The 25729-nt window shown below is 36.6% G+C and overlaps 1 long non-coding RNA gene across 1 annotated transcript in view; it reads right to left on the reverse strand.

Moving 5' to 3' along the window:
• LY86-AS1 (LY86 antisense RNA 1) overlaps positions 1–25729 on the reverse strand; it is a 276362-nt gene that overhangs the window by 74353 nt on the left and 176280 nt on the right. Inside the window, exon 4 of the long non-coding RNA NR_026970.1 lies at positions 17759–17915. This is a non-coding gene — a long non-coding RNA (LY86 antisense RNA 1). The remainder of the gene's footprint in view (positions 1–17758; positions 17916–25729) is intronic.

Here is a 25729-nt window from a genome sequence, read left to right on the forward strand (position 1 = left end):
GATGGAATAAAAGACATTTGTCAGATCAACAGCTGCATACCAGGTACCAGGAGATGTGTTAATTTGTTCAAGTGATGAAACCGTATCTGGTACAGCCATTGCAATTGGAGTAACCATTTGATTAGGCTTACAGTGACCTACTGTCATTCCCCAAGATTCCATCTGTCTTCTACACAGGCCAAATAGGAGAGTTGAACAGGGATGTGGTGGGAATTACCCGCCTCCCGCATCTTTCAAGTCCTTGATAGTAGCACAAATCTCTGCAATTACTTCAGGGATGTGATATTGCTTTTGATTTATCATTTTCCTAGGTAGAGGCAGATCTAATGGCTTGTACTTGGCCTTTTCCACCATCACAGTCCTCATTTCACAGGTTGGGGAAGAAATGTGGGAATTCTGCCAGCTGCCAAGTATGTCTATTCCCATTATGCATTCTGGAACTGGGGAAATAACCATAGGATGGGTTCAGAGACCCACTGGATCCATACCTGAGCTAAAACTCCATTGATCATCTGACCTCCATAAGCCCCTATTCTGACCAGAAAGCTAAGATGATGCTACAGGTCTCTCAGAATCAATGTCAGTTCAGAGCTAGTGTCTAGTAGTCCCCTAAAGGTTTGATTTCCTTTTCTCCAGTGCACATTTACCCTGGAAAAAAAAAAAACCACAGGTCCCTTTGGAGAAGGCTTGGAGAGTGATTAACAGTATAAATTTTTAGTAGCGTATGGAGTCTTTCCTGAAGAGGACCTGACCTCCCTTTCATTCAGGGGGTTCTGGCTCTGCAAACTGGCTCATCTGGGAATTGATTGAGGGGCCATGATTTGAGTCTCAGTTTTTATTATTTGAGTTAAACTTTTGTTCACTTGACCTGCAAGTTTTCTACTTATACAGATCAAGCAAAAATTTAGATAGGCTTCCTGACTGTTTCACTTCTAGGAACACCATGATTAATTTGCAAATGTCGTAGATTTACATAGGTCAGACTATTCTGATTTTTGCTTTGTCTCTGCTGTTTTTTATGGTAACTATGCCCACCTTGCCTTTGGCAGGATTCTGGGATGACAGCTGCATCTTGGCTCCTGCCATCCCAGAATCCTATTATACCCACTGGATTTAAGTTTTCCAGTTGAATATCTGTGGTTCCCACTAGAAGATCTGACCTATTGAGAAGAATAATCATGGAGCTCTTCAGGGATGCTGGGACTCCTCTCACAAACCACTCTCTTAAAATGTTGGTGAAAGGTATATTTTCTTGACTTTCCCAGCATGGGTCAGCAAGTTTTAAGTGACTTTAGCATTTCAGTCTCCCTAAGCCTTTGAATCCCTTCCTCCATGTTAACCCAAGGGCAATCAGGCATCTCCAGCTTCTTCACGGTGGGCTATCTTTTGATCCATATTTTAGCCAATCAACCAACCAACCAAACAATTACAGCCCTTTCTAAGTCCCTGAGCTGCAACAGTAAATGCAGAATCTCAGCTTAGTGGGCCCAAATCAATAAAGTCAACCTGATCCCATTTTTTTATTCCTTCCACTATTACCCCTCACCCTTAATACCCATTCCCATGCATATTCCCTGGATTTCTGCTGATATAAATTAGAAAATGCAAGTAGTTCTTTTGGAGGGTAGTGTACTCATGGGTCACACTTTGTACTTTGCCTTTAGAGGCCTGCTGGGACTTGAGTCTAGTTATAGGTCTAGAAGCAAAGAAGGGTGGTGGAGGTGGGTCTTTGGGAGAATCAGCAGTGTCATGGTTGGCCACTGTTTCAGAGGGGGCCATTACCATTTCCTCAGGCAATGCAGGGTTAATCCTCTCAGACAGAGGTGGAAAGGCACATACCATTTTGGGAAAATGCTATGGAAGAAATGCTTAAAATAATTAGAAATCATGGAAACATAAACTAAGTCCATACATATAAGAGTGCATAAAATAAAAAAGCTGTGTAATGCTAAGCTCTGGTAAAAGATTGTAGAGATAGAAAACTTTCATGAATTGCTGGTAGGAGTATAGTCTGGTGTAGCCACTTCAGAGACCTATCTGGTTGTACTTAGACAAACTAAGAACACACAAACTCTAATATATTAGAATTCAGCAGTTCCATTTGTGGGCTTATATGCCCAAATTATTTTACACAGAATCATAAGAAGACATGAGCAAAGATTCTACTACAGTTTTACTTATGACATTGAGGAGCTAGATGTAACCTGGTGTTTACTCTGGGAGATAAGCCAGGTAAAATAATGCAGATGCACATTTGTGGAGTATAATGGAGCAGTTGGAAGAAACATGAATTTCTGGAAAACATTATGGTTGGTGAAAAAAGTAAAAAGTGAAATTTTAGAAGAATAGGCACCATTTACATGCATTTCAAAATACATTCATACAAGTGACATAACACAAAATGGTGGAATGAGAAGGTCTTGAAGTTGCTCCCTTCAACAAAACAAGAAATGAACTGGAAAAAGCACTTTTGAATCAGCTACATCAGAATTCTAGAACCTGATTGGACACTTAAAACAACTAGAGGAGTGCTGGATAAAGTCAGAGGCTGCTATTCCAAGGTAAGAGAGTGGCACACATAAACCAGCCACCATCCTGCATTATTCAGCCCCATCATGGCTGTGAAGATAGATGCTTCTGTTTTTGGAGCAGCTGGCTGGTGTCAGCATGAGCAGTGAGGACCTTCTCCTCCAAAAACTTGGGGTTGTGTGCATTGATGGGTCTGGGTGCCCTCAGGGACTGGCAGAGACACCTGCCTTGGTTCCAGCTCTCTCAGCAGCAGCAGCAGATCTCCCCAGTGACATGTATCAGAAGATTTAAAGGGCCAATGCCCTTTTTTCTTTTTTGTTTTTGGAGCCAGACATTTAAGAAAATCCTTGTCAGGTCACTAGCTGATAGCAGAGATAATGGAATATAAATTTTAGTTAGCACGTACAACAAGGAATATACTTTGCAAAAATGGTTTAGAAAAGTCACAAACAGACTGCCCCATCCTTCGACAAGCAGAAATCAATAATCCTTAAGTTCTCAGATAATCAAATTTACCACATTGATACTCAAATTGTGCAATTCTCAAAAAAAGAATTACAAGCAATACAAAGAAACAGAAAAGTATTAACTCATTCACAGGAAAGAAAAAGAATTTGACAGAAATCATTCCTGGGAAAGCCTAGATACTGGAATTACTAACCAAAGATGATTAACCAATTGCCTGAAATAAGCTCAGTGACCTAAAAAAAACCATGGATGAAGAACTAAAGGAAATTGGAAAAATAATGTATGAACAGAATATCAATAAAGAGATAGAAATTATGAAAAAGGAACCAAACAGAAATTCTGGAGCTGAAGTTACAACATCTGAAAGGAAAAATTCACTAGAGAGCTACAACAGCAGATTTGAATACATGAAAGAAAAGCTCTGTAACCTTGAAGATATGACAATTAAAATGATTAAGACTAAAGAGCAAAATTTTTAAAAAGATTAAAAAATAAACAGAGCCTGAAGGACCTGTTGCATAACATCAAGTATACCAACATCTGCACATAGTATGTATTGGTCCATTTTCATGCTGCTGATAAAGACATACCTGAGACTGGGCAATTCACAAAAGAAAGAGGTTTATTGAACTTACATATGGCTGGGGAGACCTCACAATCATGGCAGAAGTCAAAGAGGAGCAAGTCACCTCTTATGTGGATGGCAGCAGGTAAAGAGAGATGGCTTGTGTAGGGAAACTCCCATTTTTAAAACCATCAGATCTCATGGGACCCATTCACTATCACAAGAACAGTGCAGGAAAGACCAGCCCCCATAATTCAATCACCTCCCACTGGCTTTCTCCATGACACATGAGAATTGTGGGAGTTACAATTCCAGATGAGATTTGGGTGGGGACACAGACAAACCATGTCATAGTAGTATGAGAAGGAGAACAGAGAAAGAAAGAAGCAGAAAAAATTATCTGAAGAAATAATGGATGAAAACTTCCCAAATCTGACAGACATTAATACATATATCAAAGAAGCCCAATAAACTTCAAACAGGAAACTCAAAAAAATCTACACTGTGACACATTATAGTCAAATTGTTGTAAGTAAAAGACAAAGAGAAAATTTCCAAAGCAGCAAGAGAGGTGACTTGTCATGTACAGTGAGTCCTCAATAAGACTGACAATGACAATGTATTTCTCATCAGAAACTTTGGCGACAAGAAGGCAGTGGGATGACAAAGTCTTGTAAGAATAAAATTGTGAATGAAGAGTTCTCTATCTGGTAAAATGGCCGTTTAAGAGTGAAGGAGAAATTACAACATTTTCAGTAAAACAGAAGCTGAGATTAACTTTCCAGTAACTTTCCCTATAAAGAATACTAAAGGGAGTTTTTCAGGCTGGCATGGAAAGACTCTGGACAGTAACTTGAAGCTATAGGATAAAATAAAGAACACTGGTAAAGGAAACTATATAGGTAAACATACTGGCCAGCATTATTATACTTTTGGTTTGTAACTTCCCTTTTTATCCTACACGATTTAAAAGTCAAATGCATAAAATTATAAGTCTATCTTAAAGGGCAAATACTGTATAAGGATACATCTGCAACAATAACATAAAGGGGAATGAAAAGAGATGTATAGGAGCAGAGTATTTGCATACTATTGAAACTCATTTGATATTACTCAAACTGGGTTGTTATCAGTTTAAGATATTAATATTAATCTCCTAAGGCAACCACTAAGTAAATAACTTAAAAATATACAGAAAAGTAAAGAAGGAGGGAATCAAAATGGCACACTACAAAAAATCAACTAACTCCAAAAAGAGGCAGTACTGTAGTAGTGTAGTGTAGCAAATGAGGAATAAGTAAAATAAATAAACATGTAAAATATACACAACAAATAGCTAAATGGTAGAAATAAATCCTTTCTTATCAGTAATTACTTTAAATTCAAATTGATGAAAACCTCCTATTAAAAGACAGGGATGAAAACAGTGGATAAATTAAAAAATAAAAACATGATCTATGTACTGTATACCAGAGACTCACTTTAGATACAGAGACACAAAGAAGTTGAAAATGAAAGGATGAGATAAGATATTTCATGCAGATAATAACCAAAAAAGAGCTGAAGTGGCTATATCGTTGTCAGGCAAACTAACCTTTAATTCAAAAAAGTTTACTAGAGGCAATGGAGGACATTATACATTAATAAAATGTTCAAACCATCATGAAGATATAACATTTATAAACATATATGCATCTAACAACAGAACTCTAAAATATACGAAGCAAAAATGAACAGAATTGAAGGGAGAGGTAGATAGTTCTACAATAACAGTTGGAGACTTTCATACTACACTTTCAATAGTGAGCAGAATAACCATACGGCCATATAGCAGAATAGATCAAAAAGGAAATAGAGGACTTGAACAACACAATAAACCAATTTTACCCATACACATATACAAAACAATCCACGCAACAACTGAAAAATACACATTCTTCTCAAAAGGTATGTTTGGAACATTCTGCAAGATAGACCATAGGGCTAGATCACAAAATTTCTTAATAAATTTCAAAACATTTAAGATATTGAAATTTTAAAACAAAAAATCTTTTTTAATCACAATAGAAGGAAACTACAAATCAATAACAGAAGGAAAACTAGAAAATTAACAAATCTGTAAGAGCTAAACAACACAGTCTTAACCAACAAATGGGTCAAAGAGTAAATCACAAGGGAAATTAGAAAACACCTTGAGATTAATAAAAACAACAACATCTCACTTAGACTCCCACACAATAATAATGGGAGATTTTAACACCCCACTGTCAACATTAGACAGATCAACGAGATAGAAAGTTAACAAGGATATCCAGGAATTGAACTCAGCTCTGCACCAAGCAGACTTAATAGACATCTACAGAACTCTCCACCCCAAATCAACAGAATATACATTCTTCTCAGCACCACATTGCACTTATTCCAAAATTGACCACATACTTGGAAGTAAAGCACTCCTCAGCAAATGTAAAAGAACAGAAATTATAACAAGCTGTCTCTCAGACCACAGTGCAATCAAACTAGAACTCAGGATTAAGAAACTCACTCAAAACCACTCAACTACATGGAAACTGAACAACCTGCTCCTGAATGACTACTGGGTACATAATGAAATGAAGGCAGAAATAAAGAAAGATGTTCTTTGAAACCAATGAGAACACAGACACAACATACCAGAATCTCTGGGACACATTTAAAGCAGTGTGTAGAGGGAAATTTATAGCACTAAATGCCCACAAAAGAAAGCAGGAAAGATCTAAAAATGATACCCTAACATCACAATTAAAAGAACTAGAGAAGCAAGAGCAAACACATTCAAAAGCTAGCAGAAGGCAAGAAATAACTAAGATCAGAGCAGAACTCAAGGAAATAGAAACACAAAAAACCCTTCAAAAAAATCAATGAATCCAGGAGCTGGCTTTTTGAAAGGATCAACAAAATTGATAGACTGCTAGCAAGACTAATAAAGAAGAAAAGAGAGAAGAATCAAATAGACACAATAGAAAATGATAAAGGGGATATCACCACCGATCCCACAGAAATACAAACGACCATCAGAGAGTACTATAAACACCTCTATGCAAAGAAACTAGAAAATCCAGAAAAAATGGATAAATTCCTGGACACATACACCCTCCCAAGACTAAACCAGGAAGAAGCTGAATCCAGGCTCTGAAATTGAGGCAATAATGAATAGCCTACCAACCAAAAAAAGTCCAGGACCAGATGGATTCACAGCCGAATTCTACCAGAGGTACAAGGAGGAGCTGGTACCATTCCTTCTGAAACTATTCCAATCAATAGAAAAAGAGGGAATCCTCCCTAGCTCATTTTATGAGGCCAGCATCATCCTGATACCAAAGCCTGACAGAGACACAACAATAAAAAAGAGAATTTTAGACCAATATCCCTGATGAACATCGATGCAAAAAGCCTCAATAAGATACTGGCAAACCGAATCCAGCAGCACATCAAAAAGCTTATCCACCATGATCAAGAGGGCTTCATCGCTGGGATGCAAGGCTGGTTCAACATATGCAAATCAATAAACGTAATCCAGCATATAAACAGAACCAAAGACAAAAACCACACGATTATCTCAATAGATGCAGAAAAGGCCTTTGACAAAATTCAACAGTGCTTCATGCTAAAAACTCTCAATAAATTAGGTATTGATGGGATGTATCTCAAAATAATAAGAGCTATTTATGACAAACCCACAGCCAATACCATACTGAATGGGCAAAAACCAGAAGCATTCCCTTTGAAAACTGGCACAACACAGGGATGCCCTCTCTCACCACTCCTATTCAACATAGTGTTGGAAGTTCTGGCCAGGGCAATCAGGCAGGAGAAAGAAATAAAGTGTATTCAATTAGTAAAAGAGGAAGTCAAATTGTCCCTGTTTGCAGATGACATGATTGTATATCTAGAAAACCCCATCGTCTCAGCCCAAAATCTCCTTAAGCTGATAAGCAACTTCAGCAAAGTCTCAGGATACAAAATCAATGTGCAAAAATCACAAGCATCCTTATACACCAATAACAGACAAATAGGGAGCCAAATCATGAGTGAACTCCTATTCACAATTGCTAAAAAGAGAATAAAATACCTAGGAATCCAACTTAAAAGGGATGTGAAGGACCTCTTCAAGGAGAACTACAAACCACTGCTCAATGAAATAAAAGAGGACACAAACAAATGGAAGAACATTCCATGCTCATGGATAAGAAGAATCAATATCGTGAAAATGGACATACTGCCCAAGGTAATTTGTAGATTCAATGCCATCCCCATCAAACTACCAATGACTTTCTTCACAGAATTGGAAAAAACTACTTTAAAGTTCATATGGAACCAAAAAAGGGCCCACATTTCCAACACAATCCTAAGCCAAAAGAACAAAGCTGGAGGCATCACACTACCTGACTTCAAACTATACTACTAGGCTATAGTAACCAAAACAGCATGGTACTGGTACCGAAACAGAGATATAGACCAATGGAACAGAACAGACCCCTCAAAAATAATACCACACATCTACAACCATCTGATCTTTGACAAACCTGAAAAAAACAAGCAATGGGGAAAGGATTCCCTATTTAATAAATGGTGCTGGGAAAACTGGCTAGCCATATGTAGAAAGCTGAAACTGGATCCCTTCCTTACACCTTATACAAAAATTAATTCAAGATGGATTAAAGACTTAAATGTTAGACCTAAAACCATAAAAACCCTAGAAGAAAACCTAGGCAATACCATTCAGGACATAGGCATGGGCAAGGACTTCATGTCTAAAACACCAAAAGCAATGGCAACAAAAGACAAAATTGACAAATGGGATCTAATTAAACTAAAGAGCTTCTGCACAGCAAAAGAAACTACCATCAGAGTGAACAGGCAACCTACAGAATGGGAGAAAATGTTTGCAATCTACTCATCTGACAAAGGGCTAATATCCAGAATCTACAAAGAACTCAAACAAATTTACAAGAAAAAATCAAACAACCCCATCAAAAAGTGGGCGCAGGATATGAACAGACACTTCTCAAAAGAAGACATTTATGCGGCCAATAGACACATGAAAAAATGCTCATCATCACTGGCCATCAGAAAAATGCAAATCAAAACCACAATGAGATACCATCTCATACCAGTTAGAATGGCGATCATTAAAAAGTCAGGAAACAACAGGTGCTGGAGAGGATGTGGAGAAATAGGAACACTTACACTGTTGGTGGGACGGTAAACTAGTTCAACCATTGTGGAAGACAGAGTGGCGATTCCTCAAGGATCTAGAACTAGAAATACCATTTGACCCAGCCATCCCATTACTGCGTATATACCCAAAGGATTATAAATCATGCTTCTGTAAAGACACATGGACACGTATGTTTATTGGGGCACTATTCACAATAGCAAAGACTTGGAACCAACCCAAATGTCCATGAATGATAGACTGGATTAAGAAAATGTGGCACATATACACCATGGAATACTATGCAGCCATAAAAAAGGATGAGTTAATGTCCTTTGTAGGGACATGGATGAAGCCGGAAACCATCATTCTCAGAAAACTATCGCAAGGACAAAAAACCAAACACCGCATGTTCTCACTGATAGTTGGGAATTGAATAACGAGAACACGTGGACACAGGAAGGAAAATATCACACACTGGGGCCTGTCATGGGGTGGGGGGAGGGGGAGGGATAGCATTAGGAGATATACCTAACGTAAATGACGAGTTAATGGGTGTAGCACACCAACATGGCACATGTGTACATATGCAACAAACCTGCATGTTGTGCACATGTACCCTAGAACTTAAAGTATAATTAAAAAAATCAAAACAAACAAACAAACAAAACAACAACATCTCAAAACCTATAGGACACAGTGAAAGAGGAGCTACATGGGACATTTATGCTGTAAACAGTGACATTTAAAAAAAGGAGAGATCTCAAATCAACAACCTACCTGAACACCCAAAGAACAAGAAAAAGAAGATTAAAGTAAACCCAAAGCTAGCAGAAGGAATGAATAATAAAGATTACAGTGGAGATAAATAAAATTGAGAATAGATTAATGATAGACTCAAAAGTTGATTCTTTGAAAAGGTCAACAGAATAAACAAACCTTTATCTAGACTAAGTAAGAAAAAGAAAGCAAAGACTGAAATTGCTAAAATCAGAAATGACAGTAGGAATATTACTACCAATTTTGCATAAATAAGAAGGATGATAAGAAAATACTATGGAATATTGTATGCCAACACATTGGATAGTCTGGATAGAATGGAAACATCTAGACCCAAAATACAAAATTGATTCAAGAAGCAGCAGAAAATCTGAATAGACCTATAACAAGTAAGCATATTGAATCAGAAATCAAAAACCTTCCAACAAAGAAAAGTTCAGGGCAAGTTGGCTTCAGTGGTGAATTCTATCAAACATTTAAAGAATAACTGACATCAATAGTTCTCAAACTCTTCTAAGGAATCTAAGAGACGGAAACATTTTATAATGCTTTTCCTTAAGACTAACAGTACCATTATACTAGAACTGGGAACAGATACTATAATAAAAGACACCAGCAGGCTTTTATGAATATAGATTTAAAAAAACTCAACAAAGTACTACCAAGCCAAATTTATCAGTATAGTAAAAGGATTACACACCATGACCAAGTAAATTTTATTTCAGGAATTCAAATGTCCTTCAGCATATGAAAATCAATCAATACAGTATACCACATTAATAGAATGAAGGGGAAAAACTCACATGAGCATATTAGTTGATACAGAGAAAGCATTTGCCAAAATCCAGCATCTTTTCATGATAAAAACATTCAATAAACTAGGAATAGGGGGTAACTCCTTCAACATCAGAAAGGCCATATGTGAAAAACCCATAGCCAACATCATCCCCAATGGTGAAAGACTGAAATGTTTTCCCCTAAAATCAGGAACAAGACAAAATTGCTCATCATCATCACTTCTATTCAACATAGCACTGAAAGTTCCAACCAGAGCAATTAGACAAAAATAAAATAAAATAAAATAAAAGGCATCCAAGCTGGAAGGAGGAAATAAAATTATCTCTGTTCTCAGATGATATAAGCTTATATGTCGGAAGCTCTAAAGAAACCACAAAAAAAAAACTGTTGGAGCTAATAAACAAATTCAGCAAATTTGCAGGATACAAAATCAACACACAAAAATCAGTATATTTCTATACACTAGCAAGGAACACTCTGTAAAGGAAATTAAGGAAAAAAGTTTCATTAATGATAGAATCAATTTACAAATAAATTTAACCAAGGTAGAAAAAGACTTGTAAAGTGAAAACAACGAAACGCTGCTGAAAAAAGTTAAGGACAACATAAATAAACAGAAAGACAACTTGTGTTCATAGACTGGAATACTAAATATTTTTAAATGACAAAACTAATTAAAGCTGTCTAAAGATGTAATGTAATCCTTTCAAAATCCCAATGGTGTCTTTTGCATAAACAGAAAAACCTATTCTAAAATTTTTTAAGGAACTTCAAAGGACCCCAAATAGATCTTGAAAATGAAGAACAAAATTGGAAGACTCGTGCTTCCCAATTTCAAAACTTCCTACAAAGCAATAGTAATCAAAATACCATGGTATTGGCATAAGGATAGAGACATGGACCAATGGAATAGAATAAAGAGCCTAGAAGTAAGCCCTCATATATCCAGTCAATTCATTTTCAGCAAGGTTTCAAGACTACTCAAAGGGGAAAGGACAGTCTTTCCAACAAAAGATGGCGGGAAAACATGCATAATAAAGTTGAACTCTTACTTTATGTCATATATAAGAATTAACTCTAAATGGATTAAAAACCTAAACTTCAGAGATAAAAATGTAAAACACACAGAAGAACACTTAAGGGAAAATCATAACGTTGGATTTGGCAATGACGTTTTAAATATGACACCAAAAGCAAAAGCAACAACAACACCATAGATAAATTGAACTTCAGCAAAAATAACAACCTTTAAGCAAAGAAGACATACAAATGGCCATTAGGTGCATAGAGATATGGTCAACATTATAGTTGTTAGGGACATGCAAATTAAAACCACAATGAAATATTACTACGCACATTAAGATGACTGTTGTTTTAAAAAAAATGGAAAATAAGTGCTGGGAGGATGTAGAACAATTGGAATCCTAGTTGGTGGTGGGAAGGTAAAATAGTATTGCTGCTATGGAAAATAGTTTGACAGTTCTTCAAAAAGTTAAATATAAAATTATCGTATGACCCTGTAATTCCACTCCTACAATCCCACTCCCAAAATAATTAAATAAGGGGAATTAAATGGATACTCATACAACAATGTTCACAGTAGCATTATTCACACACAATAGCTGAAAGTGGCAACAAGTATCTATCAACGAATAAGTAATTGGATAAAATGGCATATACATACAATGGATTAATATTCAGCCATAAAATTGAATGAAGTTCTGATGGTTGCTACAGTATGAATAAACCTTGGAAACATTATGCTAACTGAAAGAAGTCAGACACAAAGGATAAACATTACATGATTCCTCAAAGATGAAATACCTAGAAAAAACAACTTTAAAGATAAGGAATGTAGAGTAGAGGTTATTAGCAGCTAAAAGGCAGGGGAAATGGGGAGTTATTGCATAATTACTAAGAGTGTTTGTTTGGAGTGATTAAAAAGTTTTAGAAATAGATAAAGATGATAGTTACACAGCATTGTAAATGTATTAATGCCACTGAATTGTACACTTAAAAATGCTTTAAATGATAAATGGTACGTTGTGTGTATTTTACAACAATAAAAATACATTCATACAAAACAGTAATGTTCGTTTCGAACACATACAAAACAGTATACATTAAAATGGTTGCATATGAAGTGAGAGGGGGGTACACAGGGAAAAGGCATAACTGTGAAAAAAAATGAATGAATAACAAGAAAGAGGCCTAACAAGAACCAATAATCAACAACAGACCATGAAATAAGAATTCTTAAACTCTATTCTGTACCTGAGGTCTGAAAGAAAACCAAAAACAACAAAAATATCTGAGTGTGTCAAATTATGAACTGCCATTTTGAATGGAACCGACACACATGTCCTCGCGGATTATGATACTCTTCTCATATATTGTCTCAGATCAGGATACTTAATTCCAAAGGGAGTTACTGAGAAATGGAAGGAAATGTATGTGAAGGCTACAGAGCACATTTTACTGAAAGACAGCTGTGTGACACTACCTTCATGTTGATGAATTGGTCCTCCTCTTAATTCTTACAGTACTTTTTATTGATAACATTTGTAATGAATTAAAGATGATAGTCAAGAATTTTTTGATGTTCCTGCTACCAAGAGATGCAGTTAATTTCCCTTACGTTTAAATATGGGTTGGTTTGCAACAGCCTTATCTTATACAGACAGTAAAAGTGTCAGTGTATGATTTCCAAAGCCAAGTTGAAGGTTGATTCCTTGGAATACATCTCTCTGGGACCCCTGAACTGCATGTAAGAAGTCAACTGTTCTGACATAGCCGTGCTCGACAGGCCATAAAAAGGCGCTCTGGGTGATAGCTCCAGCTAAGCCATTTTCTCTAAACCACATACATGCCCATAGTTAAAAAAAAAAATGCAGCTACAAGAAGGTGATGTGAAAAGTAAACATCTCCTCTCCTTGTCTCTCAACACTACTGCCCCTCCCTTTAGACAATTTCTGTTCGTTTGCTATTATTTCTTCCAAATATATTCTGTGCATGTGTTACATTTATATTTACATTTATCCATTCTTATTTACATAGAAATGCAGATATGACCTTATGCTTCTCAGTTAACAAAGTATCTTGGAGATAGATCCATATCATCATATAAAGAGCTTTCGTGTTCCTTTTCATGGCTGTATGTAAGCAATGTCTGGACGTAACCACAATTTATGTAACCAGTTCCAACTTGACTGTTTCCAGTCATTTGACATTCCAAACAATGCTGCAATAAAAAACCTTGCATATTTGACCTAGAAGCCCAATTCCTGGATTCCAGGATATGCACATTTTACATTTTGATGTATATTGACAAATTGCTTCTTAGAGAGTTTGCACTTATTCATACTCCATCAAAAATGTGGGGAATACCAGTGCAACTAGCACTGTGTACTATCAAGCATTACATTCTTTACAAGTCTATTAGGTCAAAAATGTTTAATTGCTCTCTAATTTGCATTTATTTTATTATGGATAGAGTACAACATCTTTTCATGTGTGATATTATATATATACATTTATCTATATCTATACGTATTTGTTTCAGTGAACTTATCTATTTATGATTTTGTCTATTTTATAGGGAGTAATTACTTGTATTTAATGATTTCAAAAAGCTCTTTAGATTTTAGTTAGCCCTTTGTCATATTAGATACATTTTTCTATTTTTTTATCTGTCTTTTAACATTACCTATATTCTTATTTTTGCCATACATAAATTATAATTTTTAATTACTCAAATTTGTCAACTTAGCATTTTTTCTTGATATTTTCTAGCCTTTCCTACCTCTTGATTTATTTTTTCAACCTAATATCTTTTATTTATTTGGTTTTTTTTTAAATTCAGGGGGGTACATGTGCATGTTTGTTACACGAATATATTACATACTGGTGGATACTGGGCATCCAGTGAACCCATTACCATTACCAAACAGTGAACATCATACCTGATAGGTTATTTTTCAACCTTCCCCCTCAACTCTTTCCCCTTTTAGAGTCCCTGGTGTCCATTATTTCCATCTTTAGGTCTATGTCTGCCAAATGTTTAGCTCACCCTTAGTGAGAACATGCAGTATTTAGTTTTCTGTTTCTGAGTTAGTTGACTTAGTATAATCGTCTCCACCTCCATTCATTTTGCTGCAAAGGATGTGATTTCATTCTTTTTTATGGCTGCATAGTATTCCATGCAGAATACATACCACACTTTATTTATCCAGTCAACCACTGATGAACCCTTAGGTTGGTTCCATGACTTTGCTATTGTGAATGGTGCTGTGATGAACATGCAAGTGCAGGTGGCTTTTTTATACAATGATTTCTTTTCCTTTTGGTAGACACCCTGCAGTGTGATTACTGGGTCAAATGGTAGTTCTACTTTTAGTTCTTCAAAAAATCTCCATACTGCTTTCCATAGAGGTTGTACTAATTTACATTCCCACCAACATTGTGTAAATGTTCCCTTTTCTCCGCATCCACGCCAACATCTATTGTTTTTGACATTTTAATAACAGCTATTCTGACTGGTGTAAGATGATATCTCATCATGGTTTTAATTTACATTTCTTTGATGATTAGTGATGTTGAGCATTTTTTCATGTTTTTGTTGACCACTTTTCATGTGTACGTCTTTAGAGAAAAGTCTGTTCAGGTCCTTTACCCAGTTTTTAATGGGGTTGTTTCCTTCTACTGTCTTTACAGACTCAAATTTTATCTTTAAATATATTTTAAACACTCTGAAAATTATAGACAGTGGAATGTACAAATATGAAGTACACAGTTTAAATAGTTTTAGCAAATGTGTGCATTTGTGCAACTCATGCAACTATCAGAGTTGAGAAAATTTTCATTTACTCCAGAAAGTTTCCTCATGCCCCCTTCTCGGTTCTCTCCATACCCTGCATTTGAAGCAACAATTTTCAGATTTCTCTCATCTGAGATTAGTTTTGCCTGTTCCTAAAAGGCTTATAAATGGGATCATGCAGAATATATTCTTCTGTTTTTAGCCCTTAATGCTCAACATGTTTTTTGTTTGTTTGTTTTGTTTTGTTCTGTTTTTTTTGGTTCATGAATGTTGTTGTGGGTATTAGTAATTCACTCCCCTTTTACTTACTGAAGCTGTGTCATTGTCTGGGGTAAATACCCAAGGTTCATCATCTCACACCAAGGAAATCAAGGACATGGACACACAAGAAGTGAGTTTAAGAGTGGAGGTTTAATAGGTGAGAGAAAAGAGAAAAGCTCTCCTTCCTGCAGAGAGGAGCTCCTGAGTGGGTCTTCCAATTTTATGGTGAAACGCATAGGGTTTTATAGACAAGCTTGAGAAGTGGTCAGACCAGGTGTGCCACCTCAACCTAATCTTTTATTATGCAAATGGGTTCTCTACCTGTCCGGCGCCATGTTGCCTGTTCCTTTATTGTACATGTGGTTGACAAAGAAAAAGGGAGGTGGAGCCTCATGTTGAACATGCCTGGCCCCCAGGTAGCCTTTTCCTATTGGCACAACTGCTAGCATTCACCCGTGCAAGCATCTAGCTTGCCTTTCTTTGTCTGCAGCTTGATTTTAGGGGCTGCTCTTTATTAGAAAAGAAATGATTTGGGGGCTGCTTTTCGTTAAAAGCGAAGCCTTACTGAGGACTCTCTTACCCTCACTAACAGCCTAAATAATTTCTTTTTAGCTCCTGTATCATTATGAGTAGTATTCTGTGGTATAAATATACCACAATTTGCTTATCTGTCTCTTAATGGTGAACATTTCCATTTTTGCATGTTCTGGCTAATATGTATAAAGCTATGTGATCATTCTTGCACAAACTTTTTGTAGACATGTTTACATTTCTCTTAGGTAAATACCTAGAAGTGTAATCCGTGAATGACACAATACATTTTCAATTTTTAAAAAGCTTTATAAGAAACTTTCCAAGTATTTTGCAATGTGGTTGTGTAAGTTTATACCTCATTATCATTGTATGAGAATTCCAGTTGGTCCACATCGTCATGAACAGTTGGTGTTCTCAGTCTTATTAATGTTAGTCATTCTGAATGGTGAATGCTAGCACGTTGTCATTTTAATTGCATTTCTGGTAACTAACAATGTGGAGCATTTTTTAATGTGCTTACTAATCATTGATATATCTCTTAATAAGTGTCTAAGTCTTTGCTCATTTTCATTGGATGGTTTGCCAGTTATGTATATTGTGACTATTTTCTCCAAATCTGTGGTTTCACTTTTTTAAAATCAGTGTCAAATGTTTTCTGAAGAACAGATGTTTTTAAATTTGATGAGTTCAGTTTATCAATAATTTCTACTACATGTTCATGTGTACATTCACACACACAAACACAGAGTTACACTTCTAATGAAAGCTAACCCTGTGGATCTCAAACTTTCTATTTCCACCCAAACCATAGTTACAGCTGTTACAGCTGACAGATTGTCATTAATCAAATTATTAATTTCATTCACATTAAAAATGCATACACATAAATACTTGTTGTAATGAAACAGCATATTTTAGAATGCATAGCCCTTCTCATTTTGAGCTCCCACTAACTTACAGGTGTTTTCAAACTTAAGATTATACATACGGTCATTTCCAAAAGGAGAGCTTTTTCCTAAATTCTTCATTAAAATTTATTAACTCCTTGTCAGAGAGGCTGAGGACAAAGACGCTTGAACTAATATGTCAGTACCATTGCCAGCAAAGATCAATGAGGGAGGAGAAAAACAAATCTCAACAATACTATGTCAGTGAAACTATTGGCTTAAATTTACCTAATGTATATTCGGCTATCCAAGAACATACTTTTACAGTAAGGATATACTCTCCTTCATTTCCATATCTCTCATTTTGGGGGCTGAAAAAAGGAGCTATTAATGCAACCAAATGGCTTATTCAGGTCACACAGCATTGAAGCAAGGAAACTAGCCAAAGCCGCCTGCCAACATTCACCAGTGAACACCCCATGGCATCGAGTCTGGCCATGGCAGCCATCTATCTTCACAGCCACCAGATCTCTTGAGCTTCTACATTTCCCTTACCCTCCCTTGGAGAACCCTACCTCCTGGTGCACATCTCAGAAATACAATCTCAGTGCTTCCCTCTGCCAGGATGACTTGGCCCATCTCAGGCATATTGATTGGAACTCAGTGGAAACTTTTCAGTCAATTTTTTTAAAAGAAAGAAAACCACCCAGGCACAACTGAAAAAAAAAACACAAAACCTTAAATTCTATTCAATGATCTGGGTTTGTGCCAGACTGGAGGGAACAACTTGCAAATTCTTCTTTAGAAGCTGTCAGAATACTTGCCTTAAATTTGCTCTGACTCAGCTCTCTGCAGGAAAGACATGTTGCCACAGCTGATTCATCAATAAACTGTTTCTTGTCCAAGACAAGTCATAGACTCACCTTTGATTCCACTTGACTCTGTTCGGTTCAAGAAAGGGGTGCTTGCAGTCAGAGTGGACCACCACACAACTCCCGCAACTCAGTATGCCTTGAACTGCTCAGAGAATGGCAGTTGAGCTTGTCTTCTTCACTCCTGGATGTGTACTCATTCCAAAGGCTTTCAACAAAAACAGATGTTTAGGAGAAAAGGTACAATTTAGAAAATGTCAAATCACCAGGTGCTTCCTTTTCATGATGAATAAATATCAATTTTTTTAAAAAGATGGTGTCAGTAGCAATCCAAAACACGTACTATAGGAAGTGAAAAATATAAGGGCATCCTCCAATTCTTTAAAGACTTATTTTTCTATGAATTGTTCTTCTGTACCCCATAGCATTGTGTTAAGTTTAAATACCAATAGCCATCTTTTATTTCTATTGCTGAAAGACTAAGTAGTAACTTACATGAAGGTAAAATATGTCTCTACCAATACATCTAACTGTATTTATCACATACATTCAATAGAAATTTCAATAGAAAGCTATTATCTGTCAAAAAAAATTCAGGCTTCTTATTGCATTTGAATCTGAATCTGATAGTTTATATTTTCTTTTATGCAGTATGTGAAAAGAAAAGTTGATTCCAGATATGTGGTTTTCCTGATCATCAGAAGATTATGCACCAGAAAAATTAAGCAACAACTTTGTACTTAATATTGGGCAAACAAGTAGGAAGGATTTTCTAGTCCTATTGAAGAGCTGATGTAATTTCAGTACTGGGATAAATATAACTAAGTATTTTTTTCCTTTATATATATTTTCTCAAGAATGTTCATTATTCTCTGAGCTCTTATCTGGACTCTGCATTGTAAATATTCTTTTTATAAGAAGAATACTATAAAATTGAAAATACTTGATAGTGAACTCTGATTCTTTCTTAAGGTTTATTATATACCACTGTGACTTATAATATATTTTAATTTTATCTAAGGCTGAATTAAGTTGTTTGTTTGTTTAGCTTTATAATTTCTATTTCTAATCACTAAAGAGGGGTAAATTTTGATAATCAGTGAGAATTTTGCCGGGGGGAAGGAGTTCTGGAATGGAAGACAGGAACTGAAATAAATTTGCTCCTCTATAAAAGCAACAGAAACAATGACAAAAGCCATCAGAATCAACTTGTTCAGAGCTCTGAAAGTTAATAAAAGGCAGGCAATTATTTGAGAAACATTTATTTAAGAAAAACTGCTGAACCTACATGAGAACAGGGCCTTTGTGATCTTTTAACTTGTTCGTAGGAGCCTTGAATACTAACCATCTGGCAGCCACAGTTGCTATAAAAACCAGCAGCCTTGCAGCCACTAAATGGGACAGACTTGATTTGAAACTTCTCAAAAGTTCCCATCTTCAGATCAGTGTTCACTATTTGACTTGACATAGAGCTCACTCTGCCAGAAAAGCTCTATTTGCAGTCACTATCTGACCTGACTTGGAGCTCACTCTGCTAGAAAAGCTCTACCCCCAGAGAATTGGTTGGAAACAAAGCTTTGAAAATTGTTTAGCAGCACAGTTGCCTGAGGCTGTGATACCAATAGGACCAAACAAGAGGTTGGCCAAAAACTTAAAAGGAAGATCTGGGGAATGGGCCCACACAGGGCTCCAGAAAGCTCTGACATATTCCTGAGGATATAGAAGGAAGGCCACATACATGTACAGAGCTGTGTGCATTCCCTAGAAACATCTGAGAGGAACCCAATCTTCCATCTCTGGCTGACTTTTAGGCCCTGTACAAGCAGGAAGTGAAGGCTAAGACAGAGGTGTAAACTACCTGAGCATTGAAAACACACCCCAACACACACACACAGTCTGTCAGCAAAGGGCAGAAGTTTTATAGCTTCAAGGCATGTAAGAAAATCTCTGACCAATTGTTGTTTGACTGCTAAGCTAACCAAGCAAAGGCTCAATAACTTCACACTACAGGGAATAAATACTTTACAGAATAAGTTAACAAATATCATTAAACAAACAGCAGCAACAACAAACCCCAGGAGTAGGGGTGGAATCTGATATCCAGAGTTGCCACATCATATCAAAAATGCTCAATTTGAAATAAAATATTAGAAGATATGCAGATAAATAGGAAAGGAAGGTTCATATGAAGGAAAAGAGCAGTCAACAGAAAAAGTTCCCAAGGGGCCAAATGAACAAATATTTTAAACCAGTTATTATATATACATATAAATATATATACACATAAATATATATACACACACATATATGTTCTAAGAATTAAAGGAAACCAAGTCTAAAAAATTAAAGTCGATTTAACATCGGAAAAAAGAACAAAAACCACATGATCATCTCAACAGATGTAGAAAAGGTATCTGACAAAATCCAGCATTCCTTCATCATAAAAACACTCAACAAACTTGGAGTAAAAGGAAACTTCTTTAACCTGATAAAAGGTATCTGTGAAATATCCATAGCTAATACCATACTTGGTGAAAGACAGAATGTTTTTCCTCTACAATCAGAAACAACATTGTCCATTCCTGCCACATCTATTCACTATTGCACTGGAGGTTCTAACGAGAGCAATTAAGCAAGAAAAATAAATAAAAGGCATCCACACTGGAAAATAAGAAGTAAAATAATCTCTAATTGGAAATGGCATAATACTGCATATAGAAAATCCTAAGGAATACACTAAAAAATTATTATAACTCATGAATGAGTTCCAAAGATTTCAGGATACAAGATCAATAAAAAAAAATCAGTTGTATCTCTATGCACTTGCAAGGAACAATCCAAAAATAATGTTAAGAAAATAATTTTATTTATAATAGCATCAAAATAAAATGCTTATGAAAAATTTAACAAATGCACACTGTGTACAGTATGAGACTTTTTCACTGAAAATACAAAACATTCCCAAAGGAAATTAAAGAAGATCTAAATGAATGAAAAGATATCCCAGGTTTTGGGATTAAAGGACTTATTATCATTAAAATGTTAATAGTTCCTAAATTAATCTACAGATTCACCACAATCTTGATCAAAATCCCAGCTGGCTTTTTGACAGAAATTGACAAGCTGGTCATAAAATGTATGAAAGTACAAGGACCCCATAATAACTACAACAATTTTAGAAAAAAACAAATTTAGAAGACCCACAGTTGCAACTTCAAAGCTTACTGCAATGTTACAGTAATCAAGATAGAACGCAACTGACATAAGGATACACACATAAATGAATGGAATCGAGGTGAGAGTAAAAATAAACCTCTACCTTTATATTTAACTGATTTTTAACAAGTGAGCTAAGATCATGTAATGGGGAATGAAACAGTCATTTCAACAAAAAGAGCTGGGACAACTAGATATCCACATGTCCAAGAAAGACATAGTTGTACCCCTTTATTATATCATACACATGCACAAAACCTCAAAATGAATCATAGGCCTCAACATAAGAGCTAAAACTATAAAACTCTTAGAAAAAAACATAGGCGTAATCTTTGTAACATAAAATTAGGGAATGTTTTCTTAGATATGATACCCAAAAGCAAGATCAACAAAATAAAAATTAAATAAATTGGACCTTGTGATGGTGCATTTTAGTTGTCAACTTGACAGGATGGAGGGAAGCCTATATGATTGGGGAAGCATTGTTTCTGGGTGGGTCTGAGAGGGTGGTTTTGGAGGATATTGGCATGTGAGTTGATAGACTGATTTGCATTTCTCTGATGGCCAGTGATGGTGAGCATTTTTTCACGTGTTTTTTGGCTGCATAAATGTCTTCTTTTGAGAAGTGTCTGTTCATGTCCTTTGCCCACTTTTTGATGGGGTTGTTTGCTTTTTTCCTTGTAAATTTGTTTGAGTTCATTGTAGATTCTGGATATTAGCCCTTTGTCAGATGAGTAGGTTGTGAAAATTTTCTCCCATTTTGTGGGTTGCCTGTTCACTCTGATGGTAGTTTCTTTTGCTGTGCAGAAGCTCTTTAGTTTAATTAGATCCCATTTGTCAATTTTGGCTTCTGTTGCCATTGCTTTTGGCGTTTTAGACATGAAGTCCTTGCCCGTGCCTATGTCCTGAATGGTAATGCCTAGGTTTTCTTCTAGGGTTTTTATGCAAATCAGAACCGCAATGAGATATCATCTCATACCAGTTAGAATGGCAATCATTAAAAAGTCAGGAAACAACAGGTGCTGGAGAGAATGTGGAGAAATAGGAACACTTTCACACTGTTGGTGGGACTGTAAACTAGTTCAACCATTGTGTAAATCAGTGTGGCAATTCCTCAGGGATCTAAAACTAGAAATACCATTTGACCCAGCCACCCCATTACTGGGTATATACCCAAAGGACTATAAATCATGCTGCTATAAAGACACATGCACACGTATGTTTATTGCGGCACTATTCACAATAGCAAAAACTTGGAACCAACCCAAATGTCCAACAATGATAGACTGGATTAAGAAAATGTGGCACATATACACCATGGAATACTATGCAGCCATAAAAAATGATGAGTTCATGTCCTTTGTAGGGACATGGATGAAATTGGAAATCATCATTCTCAGTAAACTATCGCAAGAACAAAAAACCAAACACCGCATATTCTCACTCATAGGTGGGAATTGAACAATGAGAATACATGGACACAGGAAGGGGAACATCACACTCTGGGGACTGTTGTGGGGTGGGGGGAGGGGGGAGGGATAGCATTGGGAGATATACCTAATGCTAGATGACGAGTTAGTGGGTGCAGCGCACCAGCATGGCACATGTATACATATGTAACTAACCTGCACATTGTGCACATGTGCTCTAAAACTTAAATAATAATAAAAAAAAAGATAGACTGAGTGGGGACGATTTGCCTCAATGTGGGCAGGCACCGTCCAATCAGCTTGGAGCCCGGATGGAATAAAAAGGGGAAAGAAGGATGAATTTGCTCTCTCTCTCTCTTTCTGCTGGACCTGAAACATCCTTTTACTTCTGTCCTTGGACATTAGAACTTCAGGGTCTTTGGCCTTTGGACTCTGGGAGGTACACCAGAGGCCTCCTGGGGCTCTCAGGCCTTTGATCTCGGACTGAGAGTTATGCCATTGGCTTCCTTGGTTCTTAGGCCTTACACCTGAACTGAACCATGCTACCAGCACCCCTGGATCTTTAGTTTGCAGACACACCACCATGAAACTTCTGAGCCTCCATATGTGAGACAGTTCTCCTAATATATCCTCTCTCATGTATCCATATCTATATCCATCTGTATCTGTATCTACATTTACATATCCTATTAGTTCTGTCTCTCTGAAGAACTTTGACTAATGAAGACCTCATCAAAATTAACAACATTTTGCTGCAAATGATACATCAAGAAAGTAAAAAAGCCACCCACAGTAGGGGAGAAAACATTTGCAAATTATATATCATACATCTGATAATTATATGTCATACATCTGATAAGGGACTTTATCCAGAATATGTAAAAAAGTCTTACAAGTCCACAATAAAAAGATGAATAATCTAATTAAAAGTGGGCAAAAAAACTACCAACATAGCAACACTCTGTCTCTACAAGAATAAATAATAAAAAAAAATTAGCTGGGCATGGTGGTTTGTGCCTATAGTCCTAGCTACTCAGAAGGCTGAGGGAAGAGGATCGCTTGAGCCCAGGAGTTGAAGGCTGCAGTGAAATATGATTGTGTCACTGCGCTCTAGCCTGAGAAACAGAGCAAGACCCCATCTCTTAAAAAGAAAGGTGGGCAAAAGATTTGAATGGATATTTTTCCAAAAAAAAAAATGTAAGAATGGCTAAGAAGCATATAAAAAGATTCTCAACATTGCTAGTCATTAGGGAATGCACATTAAAACACAGATGCCACTTCCCATCGTCTAGGATGACTATAATAAAAAAAAACAACAACAACAGACAATAACAAGGGTAGGCAAGGATGTGGAGAAATTGGAAGGCTCATAGATTTTGCTTGCGGAAATGTAAACTGGTGCAGCCACTTTTGGAAACAGTTTGATAGTTCTCAAAATGTTAAACATAGAGTTGCCATATCCAGCTATTCTACTCCTAGATACTATAGGAAACAAAATAATGCCCCTCAAAGATGCTCACCTCCTAATCCCTGAAATCTGTGAACATATTATCTTACATGAAAAAGGAAATTTCCACCTGTGATTCAGTGTCTCCAGATGGGGAGATGAACTTGGACTATCTGTGTGGGTTGAATGTAATCACAAGTGTTGTTATAAAGGGAGGTTGAGGGGATCAGAGTCAGAGAAGGCCATGCAACAACAGAGGCAGAGAGAGACGTTACAGCAGAGGCAGAGATCGGGAGGCAGAAATCATTATCAACAGAGGCAGAAACCATTAGCTTTTGATAATGATCATGGCAACACAGGTGAGATGCCATCGCTGGTAGAGCCAAGGAGTTTGGGTGTCTTAAGAAGTTGGAAAAGGTCCCCCTGGAGCTCCCAGAGAGGTGGCAGCATGGCCAGCACCTTGATTTTACCCTGGTGAAACTGATTTTGGACTCCAGACCTCCAGAACCATAAGATAATACATTTTGGTTGTGTTAAGCCATTAAGTTATGGTGATTTGTTACAGAAGCAACAGGATACTTATCCAATAACCAAGAGAAATGAAAACATGGTCACCCAAAAACCTGTACACCAATGTTCTTACAGCATTTTTCACAATAACCAAAAAGTGAAAACGACCTGCACATCCATTAACTGATGAAGAGACACAGAAAATGCGGTCTATCCAAACAAGGGCATGTTATTTGTAAGAAAAAAAAAATGAATGACTGATACAAGTGACAACATGGATAAACTTTAAAAACACTATGCTAAGTGAAAGAAATCAATTATTTATATGAAATGTCCGAAATGGACAATACAATAGAAATACAAATAAATTAGTAGGGAGATGAGGAGTGACTGCTAGCGGGTGTGGGGCTTCATTTTGGGATGGATTAATTATTCAAAATTAGATAGTGATGATGGTTGCACAACTCTGTGAATATAGTAAAATCTAATATATTGTATACATTAAATGGATGAGTTTTGTTATGAGAATATCTTAATGTTCATAACCTGTGACAAAATACAAATGCTCACCTCACTCTACTTGACAGCAATGTAATTCAAACACACAGCAAAACAACAATACTGTTTTTCATACATTTTTAAATTACCTTTATTGTTACTTTTCTTTATTTTTTAACTTTAAGTTCCAGGATACATGTGCAGAATGTGCAGGTTTGTTACACAGGTATACCTGTGCCATGGTGGTTTGCTGCACCTATCAACTCATCACCTAGGTTTTAAGCCCCACGTGCATTAGGTATTTGTCCTAATGCTCTCCCTCCCTTTTCCCCCCACCCCTTGACAGGCCCCGGTGTGTGATGTTCCCCTCCCTGTGTCCATGTGTTCTCATTGTTCAACTCCCACTTATAAGTGAGACCACGCGGCGTTTGGTTTTCTGTTCCTGTGTTAGTTAGCTGAGGATGATGACTTCCAGCTTCATCCATGTCCCTGCAAAGGACATGATCTCATTCTTTTTTATGGCTGCGTAGTATTCCATGGTGTATATGTACCACATTTTCTTTATCCAGTCTATCATTGATGGGCATTTGGGTTGGTTCCAAGTATTTGCTATTGTAAATAGTGCTGCAATAAACATACATGTGCATGTGTCTTTATAGTAGAATCATTTACATTCCTTTTGGTATATACCCAGTAATAGGATGGCTGGGTCAAATGGTATTTCTTGTTCTAGATCCTTGAGGAATTGCCACACTGTCTTCCACAATGGTTGAACTAATTTACATTCCCACAAACAGTATAGAAGTGTTCCTATTTCTCCACAGCCTTGCCAGCATCTATTGTTTCCTGACTTTTTAATAATCACCATTCTGACTGGTGTGAGATGGTATCTCATTGTGGTTTTGATTAAAGAGCTTCTGC

This window comes from Homo sapiens, chromosome 6, assembly GCF_000001405.40.
Source record: "Homo sapiens chromosome 6, GRCh38.p14 Primary Assembly".
Taxonomy (NCBI): Eukaryota; Metazoa; Chordata; class Mammalia; order Primates; family Hominidae; genus Homo; species Homo sapiens.